Genomic DNA, 18,690 nt, shown 5'->3' with positions numbered 1-18,690 from the left:
GGTCCAGAGAGGTAAACTAATACGCTCGAGGCCATTTAGCCAGTGGCATGCTGGTGTACAAATCCCGATCTTTCTAAGTCCCAGGACAGCTATTCTTGCCACAAAGTCTCCCACCATGTCTTACACTTAGGGAGCCATCCAGGTCAGAACCTGCATGAGAGATTCCATCTCCTTTACTACTCTGAAGAATTTTATTGCTACACGTTGGACTTCTGTAACAAAATTTTTCCATAATACAATGGCTTAAATGAGATAAAGGTTTCTTCCCTTTGAAAAAGTCCTGGCAGGAGGCCCAGGGTCGCAGGTGAACTCTGTGTGGACCCAGGCTCTTATCATCTTGTTGCCTTACCATCTGTACAGGCTTCTTCTTGAACAAATGATCAAAGGTGACTCTCCACCACCTCCACATCCCAGCCCAGGAGAGAGGGAAGAGGAAGGAATGCAGTGTATGCCCCTTTCCTTTTATAGGAACACCCTAGAAATTGCACACACTGTTTTCCTCACATCCCAGTGGGCTTGAACCTGGCCATACAATTAGTCATATTTAGCCCCAAGAGAGGCTGGATAACTTAGTTTTTGACTGGATTGATCAAGCTGAAACTTTTATTACTATAGAAGGGAGTGAAAGATATTGTGGGAGGCAATAGCAGTCCCCACCACTATAATAAATGGAAAAGATTTCTTTTCTTTTTTTTTTGAGACGGAATCTTACTCTGTCGCCCAGGCTGGAGTGCAGTGGCACAGTCACGGCTCACTGCAACCTCCATCTCCCGGGTTCAAGTGATTCTCCTGCCTCAGCCTCCTGAGTAGCTGGGACTACAGGTGCATGCCACCACACCCGGCTAATTTTTGTATTTTTAGTAGAGGTGGGGTTTCACCATATTGGCCAGGCTGGTCTGGATCTCCTGACCTCATGATCCACCTGCCTTGGCCTCCCGAAGTGCTGGGATTACAGGCGTGAGCCACCGCACCTAGCCTTTAAAGATTTCTTAACTAGAGCACATACAGAAAAAATGGAAGCTTGTCCTGAAAGTGGGAATCACCAGCTGACCTGTCTTCCAGCTTGTGCTCATGGTCTCCATAGTAACTGCTCTATTTGGATCCTCAAGCCGAAGGACTACTTCACCTGTTTCATCATTGGTTTCCTTAGCCCCTGTCTCTTTCTGATACCATTTTTCTGCATCAACAGCATTCTAAGTTGCATTGTAAATTGCAAATCTAATTACGTCACTTCCCTGCTTAAATCCTTTTGATGGCTCTTCACTGCCTGTAGGATCAAATCCAATCCACTTAGCAAAGCATTAGTATCTTGGTCAGTTTTTAACTCTCATCTTCTGCTTCCCCTACATTATTACTCTAAGCTCTGAGCAGATGGAGACATCAGCAATTGTTCAAATGCTACACTCTCATCCTTCTTTGCTTTGGATGTGATGTTTCTTCTGCATGGAAAGCCCTTCCCTGCTTTGTCCTTCTGATAAGTGGATTCAGCTCAATCTTCCAGGGTTGAGGCTCAAGATGTAGCTTAAATATTCTTCCTTTGTGCAGCTAAGCTCCCCCTGAAGCCCTCAGGCAGAGTCAGTCAAAGAGAGTAGTGGAAAGATGCCAGGTGTTATAATCAGTGGGATCTAGATGCAGAGCTCATCTCTGCCACTTACTAGCTGAGTGAACATGGGCAATTTCTTAAACCTAATTTTTCTTATCAATATGACAGAGCTAATCATACCTACACCATGACTTTATTGTGAAAAATAAAATATGCATTATATAATCCCTGACACATAAAAGATGTTCAGCTCTTCTAACTATTATTAATATTATGACTCTGTATATGATTTAAGGTAAAGCTAAGCTGCTGTAACAGAAATACCCTAATAGAAATTCTGGGGAAATTGAATGATCTTGATCTTGATAGTGGTTTGGGTTATGTGGGTGTAATATTTGTCAAAGCTTAACAACTACACACTTAAGATTTATGCATTTCATTGTATGTAAGTTTTTTCATCAGAAGAAAAAGTCTAGTTAATAATTTGCATGCCAAAGTATTTAGGTTGAAATGTAGAGAGGTCTGCAATATACTTTGAATTTTGTTCAAAAATTAAGAAGGACTGATGAGTGAATAGATGGGTGGAAAAATAGGTAGGTCTATAATTTTAAAAAGGAAAGTGCAGTAAAATTTTAATGGTATAATTTAAGCTGTGGATATATAAATGTCTATTGTACAATTTTTTTTAGCTTTTCTATATGTGTGAACATTTTCATAATAAAAATGAATAAAAAGACCCCATCATAAAGTGGTTTTAAAATTATAGCTGTTTCTCCTCCCCCTCAAGTAACAGTTCTAAAGTGAGTGGGCCAGGTTCGTGGGCAGTTCTGTTCCATCTGCCCATTCAAGAGTGCCAGGCTTGTGGGCAGGGACTCAATTTCTTCCAGGTTGTCAAGTCTTTGCTGCATCATCCTCTAGACCCAATGGCATTGTCCTCATCTATGGTCAATGTTGGACTATATTCTGCCCCAGTTACAAGGGGAAAAGAGGCAGGAGGTATGCCCATCTCCTAAGCCTAGACCCAGCAGAGGTAGACATGACTTCTGTCTACATGCCACTGGGAGAAGTGAGTCATGTGGCCACATGTAACCTCAGAGGAGGCTGGGAAATATTGAACTCTACACTCAGGAAGAAGGGGAGTGTCCTTCACTCCGTGCTCTCTGAGAACCCACCAGGAGCTATTTGCCACATGGAATTGTGGTCATTTGAAGAGTCCTAGTGGACTGCAAATACCTTGAGGGCAGAAATAGTGTTTTGCATATCTTTGATCACCAAAACCAAATATGGGGCCTGAAATAAGTCTTAAAGAAATGTTTGCTGAACAAATCAATGTGTGAATGAATACATAAATAAACGAAATGAAGTATTAATAGTACTTTCTTGGACCACACATTTGTTAGTATGAATCTACTTTTATCCATGAAAAACAAGCCCTCTCGATTTTATAGATCTGTAATATGCCAACTCATTCTAATCAAGTAATTCCTTATTAACTTAGGCCTTCCTCCCATCCCACCTCCTCCCTCAAATTTGCCTTCATGAGAGATGAGAATTACTATTTATACAAATTTACTAAACACAATCTCAGATGCCTTGGAAGGAAAATATTTGATCTGATTAAGAATGGAAACTATTTTTCACATTATTAAAGCACTTGAGTAGCACTGATTGGATTAAAATAATGTGAACTGGCACATGAAAATTGTCTACTTACTATAATCGACCCATAAGACTTCTACTTGGTTGCTTGTTTTTTAAAAATCTATGTAAATATTTGGAAGTAATTTTATTGTGTTTCTTCCACTATATTCTGCAATTCTAACTTTCATTAACTCATATTGAGCTCTTTACCAATTGATCCAAATTACTGTGTTTTTATTGCCCCAGTCACCAGCACTTCCAGAGGTCAGGTTGATACTGTGTGGTTCAAAGTCCCCACCATAAATCACATTGATAACATAGACCCTTTGGGCTATCCCAAGCCCCCCATGTAAACAAAGGCATTCTTTTTTTTTTTTTTTTTTGAGACGGAGTCTCGCTCTACTGTATAGGCTGAAGTGCAGTGGCGTGATCTCAGCTCACTGCAAGCTCCGCCTCCTGGGTTCACACCATTCTCCTGCCTCAGAAACATTTCAAGGGCTTAGAAGTATTCAAGTATTCAAGTATTAATTGGATCACTATTGAAAAAGCAGAATAGGAAATCTAATTTTCTCTCTTGTGTTTGATGGATTTGTCTTATGAAAGCTTCAGAACTGTCCTTCCCAGTTCTCATGTTATTTCTTTCTGTGAGATTCCGGGGCCTCCTGCTTTTCTGCGTTTACGTCAAGACCTCTACTTGTCATTCTGTAATAAATAGAGAATTTCCTGGGCTCTTTTAACTGGATCTCCTTGTGTCTGTATATTGGAATTTATTTTCAGCAGACTGATATCATATGGAAATGCCAGCTCAGAAGATGTGGTGAGCTTTGATAATTCAGGAATTGACTGACAGAAGGAGGACCTCATTTGGGCAGGTATGAACCTGGGGTATGTGCCTGATAAGAGAAGGTAATGATGCAGAAAAGGGAGATATCTCTAGAAGAGGATAAACAGCAGGTGGGAGGGTTTAACCTGGTTTGGGGATGAGGTAGGAAAGGCTCCAAAGGGAAACTAGGAGGTCAGACTGTTCTAAGAGTGCAGTGGCTGAGAAGAGACCGATTGACCAGAAAAGAAGGAAAAACAGAATGTCCCCAGGTTCTAGGATGAAGATTGCTAATCGCTTTTCATGGGAGTTCTGGCCAGGTGAGTTGATGCTGGGATTCTACTTTGAAGGTTGCAAAGTTCGGGTGTCTACAAGATCCTCCTCACTTCTGACACCAACAACAAATTGAAGATCCCCAGGACCATCTCAGATTCAATAATTTGCTAGCAAGATGCACAGAACTCAGAAAAGTTATTATATTCATGGTTATGCTTTATTACCATGAAAGGATACAGATTAAAATCCTCCAAGGGAAGAGGCATATAGGTCAGATTTTAGAAGTCATTAAACATGAGTCGTGCAGAGAGCACCTCTCAGACACAACATTTGACATCATGCACAGAGTATTATTAACCAGGAAAAACTCACCAGAGTCTTGGTGTGCACAGTTTTTATTGGGACTTGTTCACGTAGACATGATTGACCATCTGCTGGGCTGACCTTGGTCACCAGCACTTCCAGAGGTCAGGTTGATACTGTGTGGTTCAAAGTCCCCACCATAAATCACATTGATAACATAGACCCTTTGGGCTATCCCAAGCCCCCCATATAAACAAAGGCATTCTCTTTTTTTTTTTTTTTTTTTGAGACGGAGTCTCACTCTACCGTATAGGCTGAAGTGCAGTGGCGTGATCTCAGCTCACTGCAAGCTCCGTCTCCTGGGTTCACAACATTCTCCTGCCTCAGAAACATTTCAAGGGCTTAGAAGTTACCTCTCATGTGCTGAGGGCAAAAGTCAAACCTCTTTTGGACAAGGTGAATTATTTACTGCACAGGAGTCCTTCTTGATCAGGGAGATCTATTCCCAGGGCAGATCAGAGGATCAAATCTGTGGCAGAATATCAGACCAAAATGAAACTGTCCTTGTATCCAAGGGGCAATCTCAGGATCATTACAGGGGATAAAGGCTCAGTCTGGTCAGGGAAGATGGGCAGTAATGAGAAAGGAGCTTCTCATTACTGAGATACCAGGAGCTTGTTCTGATTTGGGTGCTTATCCTATGATGCTTGGATGGGTCCTTCTGCTTAAAATATCCAGGACTGGGAAGACTGAAAACACTTTTTTAAAAAATCCAAGCAGATAGATGCTTGAATCACATTGGTTGTGATTACTAATCGAGCACCTGAAAATTTCTAAGCTATATATAGCTTGACCTGGTCATACAGAAGATAGTTATACCTAGAATGACTGAACCCATAATATGCCGACGTCCTCCCCAAGTGAGGATGGTCTTGGGGACACGTGGACTTTGGACAGCCACAGAGGCCTGGGTGTGGGAGTAGGCTGTAGGCTCCCAACTGCATCCAAGAAGACAAGCTTCTCTTCTCCTTGGGGTGGGAAGAAGGAGTGACCACAGGTGAGCTCAAGGTTCCTCAAGATTATTCGTAAACTCGTGAATAGCAAGGTCTGCTGTCATGCCTGCCTTGCCAGAAGAGTCCAATCCAGAACCAAGCTCTTCCTCCATTCCTCAGGGTAGGCCATATTGGATCAGGATGAGATTACTGAGTATTGAGTATCTCTAGGACAAAAATAAGATGGAGAATCCTTCTAGAAAGACTTCAGGGCTGGGTGTGGTGGCTCAAGCCTGTAATCCCAGCACTTTGGGAGGCCGAGGCGGGTGGATCACTTGAGGCCAGGAGTTCGAGACCAGCCTGGCCACATGGCGAAACCCCATCTCTACTAAAAATACAAAAAATTATCTGGGCACTGTAGCTTACACCTGTAATCCCGGTTGCTTGGGAAGGCTGAAGCAGGAGAATCGCTTGAACCTGGGAGGTGGAGGTTGCAGTGAGCCAAGACTGCACCACTGCACTCCAGCCTGGGAGACCCTGTCAAAAAAAAAGAAAAGAAAGGAAAGAAGGAAGGAAAGAAAGAAAGAAAAGAAGGAAAGAAAGAAAGAGAAAGAGAGGGAGGGAGGGAGAGAGAGATGGAGGAAGACTTTAGCAGAGACTGTAGCCAACACAACCTCTGTAATAAATAGTGAATTAGTACTTAGGATGCAGTTGTCTCTCTACCTCCTAACCAGAACAGACTCCAACCATGACTTTCGTATCAGGTGTGTTTCCAGCTTTCTCGGCGCTATTCCTGATCACTTTCTCTTGGTCACCAGGGATTCTAGACTTCTCTGAAGCTTTGAAACCTGTCAGGTTCTGATTGGTCAGGTCCATCCCATAAAAGTGGTTAAATATTTTGAACATCACTTCTAGCTGGGTCCTTTCTTTATCTTCCCGATCAAGGGCTTTCTTTTCTCAGAGAGGACTCCTTGGTCTTTCTGATAGACTAGGATTGCTCCAGAAGCACTTTATGAAATCTTCCACTCCACTCCTTGGATGGTGATCTCCCCTGCCTCCTTCCCCAGAACTTCACAAACCCTAAGGATTCATCTCTGGACAATGAGCAAATCTTCACTGGCTTCACTTTAGCTCAGCACCTAATGCAGTGTTTGGTTCTGAAAAGCCTCCTTTGTGTGTGAGGAACTGTTCTGAAATCTCCCGACAAGAAAGTGAGTCACGGTATTTTGCATTGTATGGGAAATCCATACCATTTCTCCCCCTACCAGTAAGGCTAATCACTGCCAATTCATGGGGATGTTGTGAAAATGAGCCATTTGGGAGGATGCCAAAATAGGCAGAGAAGAGAGGAAAGCAAATTGGCCTGATGGATTTGGTGGCATTAAATAACACAGATGGAAGTGTAGCAGTGCACTTAGTAGTATAATGTTTTTAATCCTTGCTCAGAATGTTTATTTAAGAGAGAAGTTACTTAGATTTGTGACATTTGTTAATATGATTATATCACCCTTAAAATTTTTAATTTTTGACTAGATAATATATGCACACGTTTTAAAACTCAAAATGATAGGAAAATGCTCACATTAAGAAGTCTGGCTCCTAATCTCCTCCCACTACCCTCCCCCACAGGTAACTACTTTCATCAGTTCCTTTTATATCATTTCATGCTTTTTTTTAATGCAACTACAAACAATAAACTTTCTGCTTTGATTTGAGGGCTGCCACACTAGAAGGCAGAACTTGTCTTCACTCTATAAGCTCAAATTAACAGATACATTCCCAGCCTCCCCCCGCAGCTAGGGCGAAGGCATAAGATTTAGGCTCAACCAATGCCAAACACCCTCCCCAGACTTTGAATTGAAAGGTGGTGACAAACCGAAGCAGACATAGTGAAGAATATTCTCTAGGGCAGCAGCAGCCATATCTGATTTCCAGAGACAGCAGCGCTAGTGTTTCAAGCTGCAGCATCTTGGGTTCAGGGTCGGGGGGGTCTGCAGCATACACTAAGGCATTTGCAGAGCCAGATTAATGGTTAATCTAATGACTTAAATTTGGAGGTGCCTTACTATAACAAGCCTCTTCCAAGGCCTAGGAGGGTGTTCCAGAAATGTGTTCACATGTTTTTATAAAAGCTGCAAAAGCGAGATATTTGAACTGTAATTTGTTAAGGCTGATCATTGTCTCCATCCACTCCAACGTACCATTTGTCACACTTCCTTTCATGCCATGTGGTGTTGGAGTGGCTGTGGCATTTTTGGGGACAAACTAAGGGGAAGATGCATTAGGATACATTTCATTTGAGTTCAGTGTGGCATCATTTTTCTGTGGTTCCTAATTACTTCTACAGTCTGCTGGCCTCCCCGGGGTCAGAATGGCTGCCAGGAAATTTCTACTGTCCACTGTGCCAAATTAACAAACTTCATGATATGAAGGTTCTGGGACAGAAATTGAGTTGCAATATAAATATGTCCTGAGTACCAGGCTGTGGAATTACGTGGGGAGTGGAGGGGAAACAAGATCCAAAATGCATGCCGCTAGAAGCTAGTCTGTGGAAAACCCTTCTAGATGCTCAGATTGCAGATGAAACTTGATAGAAGCTGTTCCAAATTTAACAACAATCCTATAACTTTACATGACAATGCCCATAGTGGGTATGAAGTTAAAGGAGACTTTTCTAAATCATAATTAATGTAAAACAAATTTGGATCTCGGACAGATGATCAAGATTGACATTATCAGTGACAGCATATAATATGATGGGATGAAAATGGCATTTTGCCTCTGTGGCCTTCCTCCCAAAGGCCCATAACCCCAGTCTAACCAAGAGAAAAATGTCAGACAAACCCAAATGGAGGGACGTTCTACAAAATACCTGACCAGCACTCCTCAAAACGGTCAAGGTCATCAAAAACATAGAAAGTCTGAGAAACTGGCACAGTCTGGAGGAGGCTAAGGAGATAGGATGATTAAATGTAGTATGTTATCTTGAATGAGATCCTGGGACAGAAAAAGAGATGAGAAAACATCTAAGGAGATGTAAATAAAATATGGAATTTAGTTAATAATAATTTATCAATATTGGTTCATTCATTGTAACAAATATACAACAGAGGAAACTGGGTAAGAAATATGAAAGAACTCTTTGTACTATCTTCACAACTTTTTGTAAGTATAAAACTATTCTATATTAAAAAGATTACTTAAAAAAGAAATTTGGATAAACCATGCTAAAAGAAAGACCAAATTATCTATTCTTTCTACAGAAAATATTATAAAATTACATTTTATAACCATATTCTTACATAGCCTATTATTGACTGTTTCTCCTCCCCAAATTTATATATCGAAGCTAACCCCCTGTTGTGACTATATTTGTAAGTGGGCATTCGAAAAGTAACTTGGTGTAGACGAGGTTGTGAGGGGCAAAGCTTGACCAACCTGATACCCTAATTTTGACTCCCAGCCTCCAGAATTGGGAGAAATAAATGTCTGTTGTTTTATCCACCTCGTCTATGACATTTTGTTATAGCAGCCCAAGCTGACTAAGACACAGCCAAGAGCAAAATTGAAAAATACATTGAGGCCGGGCACAGTGGCTCATGCCTGTATTTCCACTACTTTGGGAGGCTGAGGCAGGTGGATCTCCTGAGGTCAGGAGTTTGAGACCAGCCTGACCATTATGGTGAAACCCTGTCTCTACTAAAAATACAAAAAGTAGCCGGGCATGGTGGCGTGTGCCTGTAATCCCAACTACTTGGGAGGCTGAGACAGGAGAATCACTTGAACCTGGGAGGCGGAGGTTGCAATGAACCAAGATCGCACCACTGCACTCCAGCCTGGGCGACAGAGCAAGTCTCTGTCTCAAAAAAGAAAGAAAAGAGAGAGAGAGAGAGAGGAAAGAGAGAGAGAGAGAGAGAGAGAGAGAAAGGGAGAAAGAAGGAAAGAGAGAGAGAAAAAATCTGTTGTAGAGTGGTGTCAGGCAAAAAATTAAAATATTATGTAGTATTTCTAAATTTCGTGATGACTATATGGGGCTTTGGGAGGTCATTTGGTTTAGATAAGGTGTAAATATTTAACTTTAATGATATTAAATTGGGGTTTTTTTCTCATGATGAATATTTACTTTGGTGCCTAATTTTCTGTTTATGATTTTTATTTTTCCGTTAGAATGGCTCCCAAAACCCAGTTGTGTCTCTGGGTGTGTAAGCCCAGCAGCAGGCAGTGTGTCATCGCTGTGTCAGTTCTATGGTGTGATGTGCGGAACTGGTACTGGAATGTAGACATCAAGGCTGGTTCTTCGGCTCTCCCAAAGGCCAAAGATATCTATTTAAATATCATTTAAATAAACCCCTTTATTGCTTAAATCATCTATAATTTGTTTCTGTTGCATATAAATAAGCATTTGATGAATCCGTTGGGCACCATTTAAAGAAGTGGGTCTTAGCCCTGGCTGCACATCAGAATCAAATTCCAAGGGAGTGGAGGGGACCAGGGGTTGAAATGTACTGATGCCCAATCCCAGACAGATTGACAGCATCTCCAAGGCATTGGTAGTATTTAAAATTTCCAAAGATGATTCTTTTTTTTTTTTTTTAATTCAGTCAGGGTTGAGAACCGCCAGATGAGTTTGGTTTCCTGGTGGTCCCAATCAGGTATTTATTTTATGGAGTCCTAATTTTGTGACCATTGTCACAAAATCCTCGGTAGCCATGATACATGCTCAGAAGTGTAAAACAGACCATCTGGGAGCTTTCAGTCTGAACATCCTAGAGTGGGGCCGGGGTGTCTGGGTCTTCCTTTAAGGAAAAACCAAAGAGAAGTGAGTGCCAACTGTCGGCACCGGGAAACGAGTGAAGGATGCTCAGGACAGCTGTGTTTTGCTGTCACATCTAGGGGTACTGAGAGATTCCGAGAGGGTGTTCTCCAAATCCCCAGAAGCTTCAGACAAATTTGAGTCTATAAAAAACCTTCTATCAGAACTCTTAGTTTTGACATTAATGGGGAAAAAGATGATCTTAAATGGCCTATAGACCCGAGTCCCTGTCCTCATGGAGGAGAAATACAAGAGACTAGCAATTATTTGTGTGACTGTTAAGAAAACAGAAAGAAAAGATTCTGCTCACAAAAATATAAGGTATTGAGGGGTTAAAAAAAAGTCTACAGAATCTAGAAGCAGAGATCTAAAAACTTTATTGAATAATAATTTTTAAATTTCTTAAAAATCTACTTCATAAAGTAGACACAACAGCGTTTGGGAAAGTTTAACATTGTAAATATGTTTATTCAACCCAAACTAACTATATATATTCATTACAATTACAGTCTCTATCCCAATAAAATCATTTCTGGAACTTGATAATGATTTTAAAGTTAATTTGGCAGAATGTGTGAAACTGGTTAGTTTTTTAAAAAGAAAAAAATAAAGATGGGTATTTGTTTTTCCAGATATTAAAACATATTTTAAAAGAAAATATAAATAAAATGATACTATCTTAGAAACAATAGATAGGTATAAAAAGCACAGCTACATCCCTGATCGTGTATAAGTAATGAGGATGAGCTAAAGATGCTGTTCCAATTAAGTGAGGAAGAATGAACCATTTGATAAATGGATTTGGAATAATTAGCTATCTGGAAAAAAAAGTGAGATTCCCTCCTCATAACATGTGGTGATAATTTGCATATGATTTACATATTTTTTAAAACATAAGAGTACTGAGAGGAAAAAGAAGTAAAATTTTATGTAAACTTGTAGTAAGAAAAACTTTTAAAGCATAACACCAAAGGAAAAATCAATAAAGTAACATATTGGGAAATAGGATTATAAAAAATATTTTACCCATAAATTTTTAAAAAACATGAATAAAAACACAAAAGGTAAATTACATCTGGGAAAATAGCTGTGACAAATTACAAAAACAGGGTTTAATATCCTTAAAATACAGAGAATTCTGACAGACAACAAGAGAAAGACAGCCCTGTAAAAAAATAAATGGGAGGTCAGGCGCAGTGGCTCACGCCTGTAATCCCAGCACTTTGGGAGGTCAAGGCGGGCAGATCACTTGAGGCCAGGAGTTAGAGACCAGCCTAGCCAACATGACAAAACCCCGTCTCTACTAAAAATACAAAAAATTAGCCAGGCGTGGTGGCGGGCACCTGTGATCCCAGCTACTCAGGAGCCTGAGACAGGAGAATCGCTTGAACTTGGGAGGTAGAGGCTGCAGTGAGCCAAGATTGTGCCGCTGCACTCCAGCCTGGGCAACAGGAGTGAAACTCCATCTATAAATAAATAAATAAATAAATAAATAGGATAGAATAAGAACCAACTATTCTTCCAGTAAGTACAAATAGCCAATTAATGGATGAAAAAAAGTATTCAAACTCATGAATGAATAGAATGCACACGAAACAAAGAGGAGACACTTTTTGCCTAACGGGTTGACAAAGAGAGTGTGGAGAAGACAGTTCACCCCCAAGAAATGTAAACTGATAGGTCATTTCTGGAAAACAGGTTGCCACTATGTCTCCGAAGTCATACTAATATGCATGTCCTTTGACCCAGCAATGTCCTTTTGTTTGTTAAAAGCACAAAGAGATAAGGATGTTTAGATATCTGCGAAACGAAAGAATCAATTTTTTAAAAGAATTATATTTTCAACATTTCAAAAACAGATTGGAGTAGGCATCACAGACAAACCAGAATTTTGTTGAACTTTCTTTATGGTTTACTATTGTTTTTCTTTTTTCATCTGAATGAGACAAGGGAATGAAGTGACTAAGAAACCATGATATTTTCACTGTTATCTTCAAGTCTGCTGACACTCTGTTTAAGGATGTTCAGTCTAATGTTAATACTTTCAGTAGTGAAAAGTTAGAAAAATCCAATACATGAAAAACAAATGATTAATGTATGACACGGTCCTAGAACAAAATACTAGGCGCTACTAAAAATTGTAATTGCAAATTTGCATGTATGGTTATGTTGATTGATACTGTAAGATATTTACCACTCAATTAGGTAGAGCATAAAGTTGGAAAACAATAACCAGGTAAGATCCCATGTTTTTTAAGTAAATATCTTAAAGTATATTGAGGATCGGGAAAGAAGCCCAGAAGAATAAACAGCAGAAGCATCCAGTATTTCGCTGTGCAGGAGACTTGAGGAGATGATGAGTGGGTTGGTTTTTTTAAAAAAATTATCTGTATTTTTAAAATTTTCTACATTGAAAGTGAATTGCTTTGGTAATGAAGAAAAGATGTTACTGGAAATTTTTGGCTGCCTGGTTTTAATAATTTCTAGAACAAGGCAGAGTCCAAATTAATTATTTAATTAAAAGAAAAATAGAGCAGCCGGCTCCCTCCCCCTGATCCTATCTATCTGGGAATAATGAGGCGCTGCGGGCAGTGCCGTGTGTGTGTGTGTGTGTGTGTGTGTGTGTGTGTGTGTGTGTATGTGTGTGTGTTGTGGTGTGTGTTAGAAAGTCATCGATTCCGTGCCTCCTGTCATTCTCCAGCATCTGTCATCTTGGCTTTCTCTGCTGCCCTGAAGGTGCCTGGGGAACACCCACACATTGTCAAAGAGAAGAGTGCAGAATCCCAGAGAGGTGGAGCGACTGGCCCAAGGTCACGAGCTCCCGAGTCCATGCCGGCCTTGAATCCGGGCCCTTCGGCTGCCGCTTCCCGCACAGTGCGGGCCTCAGGGCCGCCACAGAAGAGTCAGGTGCCAGCCAGTGCTGTGTGCTCTGCGCAGATGCCTCCTTTGGCCGTGGGGGTCCGGACCTTCCCTCTGCTCCTTTACTGCTTTCTCGCCACACGGGGGCTGGAAGCGAGGATGCCTTAAACATTCAAGGCTGTGGAGCAGGCTCAGGCCCTCAGCATCGTGGAGAAGGCACCGAAGCCCGCAGAATCCCACTGTCCTGTGGCAGGGAGAAAAGACAAACGGGTCATAATGCTGTCTTAGAAGGAGATCACGGAGGGCTGGATGTGACCCTTTGCGAGGGACCGGGGACCTTGAGGAGCTGTGAGTTTCCCAGACAGGGTGACACTGGAGCCTTGGAAGGGAGCAGCCTACGGACACCAGAGCTGGGGAGCTAGAGACCCAGTGGGACCCTCATGCCTCCTTTGGACTATGGAGCCCAATGCACCCCTGGGGCCTCGCCGGCCTCGCAGGGAGGTTTCACAAGGACTGTCCCCAAGCCCCTCTCCTGGTGGCCTGTGATCACAGTCTGAGCAGCCCACGTGTCTGCCCTTCTTTGCCTCCTCCTGCGTCTCCTGCCATCAGCTCCCAGCCCAAAACTTTCCAGAATGGAAGTGGGCTTAGCTCAAGCGGCCTGGAGCATGGAGCCCATGATGGGAGAGAAGTCACGTCAAGTCCTGTCTGTGATGTACACACAGCTGGATACACAGAGCAAGGCTCAGGGAGTCTGCTGCACCTGAGTTGTTCTTAGAATCTCAGCTTCTAAAGTGAGACATTCTCACACCCCACCCCCACAAAGTAGGGGCACTGAAGCCTCTGGGCAGAGCTGTTGAACTAAATGAGCAAGTTCATGTAAAACACCTGGAAGGTGGGAGGCTCTCAATCAATGGCAGTTGCCACTGAGACCACAGTCTCTTCATCAGAAGGGTTGGTGGGACGGCTTTGGTGGTCCCAGCCAGCTTGGCTCTCAGTGAACCAAAAGCGTGAAAGCCTCTCTCCCTCCCTTCAGGAAGCTAACCCAGTTTTCAAATGAAGGAATGACTCTTCACATTGTCATTAATTTTCCTGAAAAGATTTTCTTATATCCATTAGCTATACACTATAAATACATTGGGATCTTTTGTTTTTCTAGAAAAAAAAATCATTTTAGCCTTGTATTCTGGCACATTAGATTGTTCTTTTATCCTTGCTTTTTAAAAAACCTTTCAAACGGCTTGCCTTCCATGGAAGAATAAATAGTCTGTCATTTCTGGAGAGAACTTGTAAACTAATATCTTAGTTTAAAACAAATTTAGTGGAATAAGATGACTGCAAAGCTAATATTGACTTTTTTGCGCTTGGCTTCCGTCTCAGCTACTTTGACAGCACCTTTTTCTTTCCCCTTCAACTCTTTCTCACTGTGGAGAGCTCAAGTAAGAAACCAAAGTGTGGCCGGGGGGCGGGGGGTGGCTCACACCTGTAATCCCACCACTTTGGGAGGCCGAGGTGGGCAGATCACCTGAGATCAGGAGTTCAAGACCAGCCTGGCCAACATGGCCAAACTTTGTCTCTACTAAAAATATAAAAATTAGCTGGGTGTGGTGGCAGGTGCCTGTAATCCCAGCTACTCAGGAGGCTGAGACAGGAGAATTGCTTGAACCCGGGAGGTGGAGGTTGCAGTGAGCCGAGATGGCACCTCCGCACTCCAGCCTGGGTGACAGAGTGAGACTCTGTCTCAAAAAAAGAAAAAAAAAAGAAAAAAAAAAGTGTTACATGGAAGGCCGTTCTGCATTAAAGAGCTGCCCAAGGAGAAGGGAAGTAGTCAGTTTGCTCTTGCTAGAGATATGCAAACTCCACATGGAGAGTCCCCAGCTGGGGGCCAGAGATGCAGCCAGCCAATGGAGGATGGATCACCTTGACCTTCCAGGCTCCTTTCTGCCCAGAGGCCTAGGAAACACCTGCTGGCTGCCTCGCATGAGCGTAGAGACACAGGTGGACTTAATATTGCCCCTCCTTGAGGCAGGGCACAGTGGCTCACACCTGTAATCCCAGCACTTTGGGAGACGGAGGTGGGCAGATCACTTGAGGTCAGGAGTTCAAGACCAGCCTCACGAACATGGTGAAACCCCGTCTCTACTAAAAATACAAAAATTACCCGGCTGTGGTGGTGTCCGCCTCTAATCCCAGCTACTTGAGAGGCTGAGGCAGGAGAATCGCTTGAACCCAGGAGGCGGAGGTTGCAGTGAGCCAAGATCACGCCACTGCATTCCAGCCTTGGCAACAGAGCCAGGCTCCATCTCAAAAAAAAAAAAAAAGCTCCTTCTTTAAGGAAAGGCCAAATGCCAAATGCTATGGGTTGAATTTTGCCCCCACCATCTGCCCAAAATCATATGTTGAAGTCTTAACCCCCAGTGCCTCAGAATGTGACCTTATTTGCAAATAGAGTAATTGCAGATGTAATTAATTAAGACAAGGTCGTACTGGTGTAAGGTGGGTCCTAAATCCAATATGACTGGTATCCTTATAAAAGGGGAAAATCTGGGCACAGACAGGCCCACAGGAGGAAAATCCATGTGAAGATGAAGCCAGAGACCATGGTGATGCATTTATAAACCAAGGAAGGCCAAAGGTTGCTGGAAACCCCTGGAGGGTAGGTGAGGGCCTGGGACAGATTCCCCCTCGCAGCCTCAGGAGGAACCAGCTCTGCCAACACCTTGATCTTAGACTTCCACCCTCCTGAACTTAGACGACCCATTTCTGCCGTGTGAGCCCCCGGCCTGTGGTGTTTTGTCACGGCAGCCCCCGCAGACCGAAAGACCAGCTGAGCGCTCCTTTTCTCAGCATCAGCGGGACGGCCGCAGTTTCTTCCTCTGTGGGTGGATGGACCACTTTGCTGCCTTGTTGCTCGAAGGTGCACAGGAATCCGGCGCCAAAGGGTTGCTGGTTGGAGACAAAGCCACTTTCAAAATGTTCCGATGGGGAACAGCTGCCTCCTCCAAGCCCACCCTGTGCTAAAGCAGCCCTCCTGGGCCCAGAGCTCTGGCTCTGATGCAGTTGAGAATAATTGCCATGTGGGAGGAGGGCGGCCATTTTCCCCCGTCAGGGGTCAGAGCCCCTCTGCTCTGATAAAAGCAGCCACAGGGCCACAAGAACAAGGGGAGAAAATAGAGGAAGGGGCGCTCAGGCAGCCCAGAGAGCTAGGAACGGCCCCTGCTCCCTGTGGGCTCCCCCTTTATCCAGACAATGGTTTTATTCAAGCTGCTGGGGCTCCCTATCCTTGGCCCAGGCACACATCAGGAGTGTGGAGGCTGAACGTGCCTTTAAGAACCAGGACCTGCAGATCTAAGAGTCCTGGTATTGAGGCGGCTGTCAGGGAGGTCTCAATGGATGAGAGGCCAGAATCTGTGGCTTCTGCCATCAGTCTCTCATAAACACCATCATCATAACTCCCATCTCTCCAGCACTTCCTCTGCATTTGGCACCATAATAAGCACTTTCTGTGCATTTTGTCCTTTTATCCTCTAACTGCCCTAGCAGGTGGGTCCCTTTGTTATCTCATCTTATGCATCAGGAAACTGAGGCACAGAGAGGTTAAGGAACTTGCCGAAGGCCACAGAGCTAGTGGGCAACAGAGCCAAGCTCCGTGCTGGTAACCACCGTGGGCTGTGTTCTCCTCTCCGTGGGAAGTCTGTGGGCAGACAGCAGGGCCAAGCAGGAGGATTGCAGGGAAGGGCCTCTGAAGTCCATCTTGCAGGGCTAAGTTGGGGTCTTAGAGCCTGCGGCCCTGCAGAACATGAAATCATGCCTTGCAGAGCCGAACAGGGCCTTGAAATCATACAGTCCCCATTTTTCTCACAAAGAGGCTAAGGTCTATGGAGGTGAAGTGGCTGGTCCCAAATCCCAGAACAAATTAGTGGCAGAACCAGGCCAAGAGCATAGACGTCCTGGTTTCCAACCCAGCGATCTTTGTTAAATACCATGGTCCATCTTAACAAGAGGTAGTAATTTTCTTCCGTAGCTTTAGAGATTTGTAAAGGATGCTGAGAAACCCTTCCTGATCACAAAGGCTGTGACATATTTGGTTGAGTTTGCCATGGCAGTTCTTCTATAGGAGTTGGAAGAGTTGGACAGACACCATGATTCCAGCTGGGATGAGCATCCAACCTGCCATAGGCTGACTCCCCTGGAGAAGACCAACTGCAGGCCAAAATCTCCTAAGATCATATTTTAGATGTGGAGTTGAGTGAATTAACCTTTTGCTAGAAGTCCATCAGTCCTCCTATGCTCATTGTACCAATCACTGATAAATGTCAGCTGAAGACAAGGGAATCATTTTAGCACAGTAGAGACATTGAGAGACTGGATATCAACTATTGATGGTTCTTGAGACGTGTCTACAAAATTCTCCCATCCATTCAACCACTTAACCGTCCATCCTTCCATCCATCTGTCCATTCATCATCTTTTCATCCATTCACCCATCCATTCATCCACCCTTCCATTTATTTACCAGGTCCTTACTCTGTGTAAAGTATTTTGCTAGACCCTAGGATTTGTGAAAGAACATGGTCTAGCTTCTGACCTTAGAAGAACTTGGATTCAAATGATGGAATCAGGATGGAAAACTATAAATATAACTCTATGCATTCAGTAAAGGAAACAGCCAGAGGCCTGGGGAGGCTGGAGAGGGCTTCTTAGAGAGAGGGATACTTGATTGGATCTTCAGCAGGAATTTTTTAAGCAGAAAAAAGGGGAGAATGGAGGGTATTCCAGATATGGAGGGAAAGATAAACTAAAGCAAGATGAAGGTTAGAGAGGTAATTATGATGATCTGGGCATTAGTGTGGAGTTTGAATCACATTTACAAGATGTGTTTGTGACCCTTGTTGCAATTAATTCTCCAACAGCCATATAAGTTAGGGAAGGTGATCCAGGGAAGGGCATGTGGCACTTACAAGATGAAGTCATTACAAGGGAGAAAGAGTAAGACCAAATAGCTAACATGTTTTGAGCTCTCATTATGTGTCAGCTCTTCACAAACATTCCTTGTATTACCTCTATTTTCCAGATGAAAAACCAAGACTTAGAGAGCCTGGCCTTGGACTCACCCAAGGTCACTGATATGGTTTGGCTGTGTTTCCACCCACATCTCATCTTGAATTGTAGTTCCCATAATTCCCACGTGTCATGGGATGGACCCAGTGGGAGGTAATTGAATCATGGGGGCGGGTCTTTCCCCTGCTGTTCTTGTGGTAATGAATAAGTCTCACAAGATCTGATGGTTTTATAAATAGGAGTCTCCCCTGCACAAGCTTCTCTCTTGCCTGCTGCCATGTAAGACATGCCTTTCACCTTCCACCATGATTGTGAGGCCTCCCCAGTCACATGGGACTGTGAGTCCATTAAACCTCTTTTTCTTTATAAGTTACCCAGTCTTGGG

General features: G+C 43.2%; 1 long non-coding RNA gene across 1 annotated transcript; it reads left to right on the top strand.

The window, feature by feature from the left end:
* Positions 1-3,964: 3,964 nt before the first annotated feature.
* Positions 3,965-9,779, top strand: LINC00159 (long intergenic non-protein coding RNA 159). Its single transcript, NR_038033.1, has 2 exons — positions 3,965-4,056; positions 9,743-9,779. It is a non-coding gene; the product is annotated as a long intergenic non-protein coding RNA 159 (long non-coding RNA).
* The last annotated feature ends 8,911 nt before the right edge of the window (positions 9,780-18,690 follow it).

The sequence above is a fragment of the Homo sapiens genome, chromosome 21, assembly GCF_000001405.40.
Source record: "Homo sapiens chromosome 21, GRCh38.p14 Primary Assembly".
Classification (NCBI taxonomy): Eukaryota; Metazoa; Chordata; class Mammalia; order Primates; family Hominidae; genus Homo; species Homo sapiens.
Note: the sequence above shows the minus strand (reverse complement) of the source record. Positions and strands in the feature narration are given on the sequence as shown.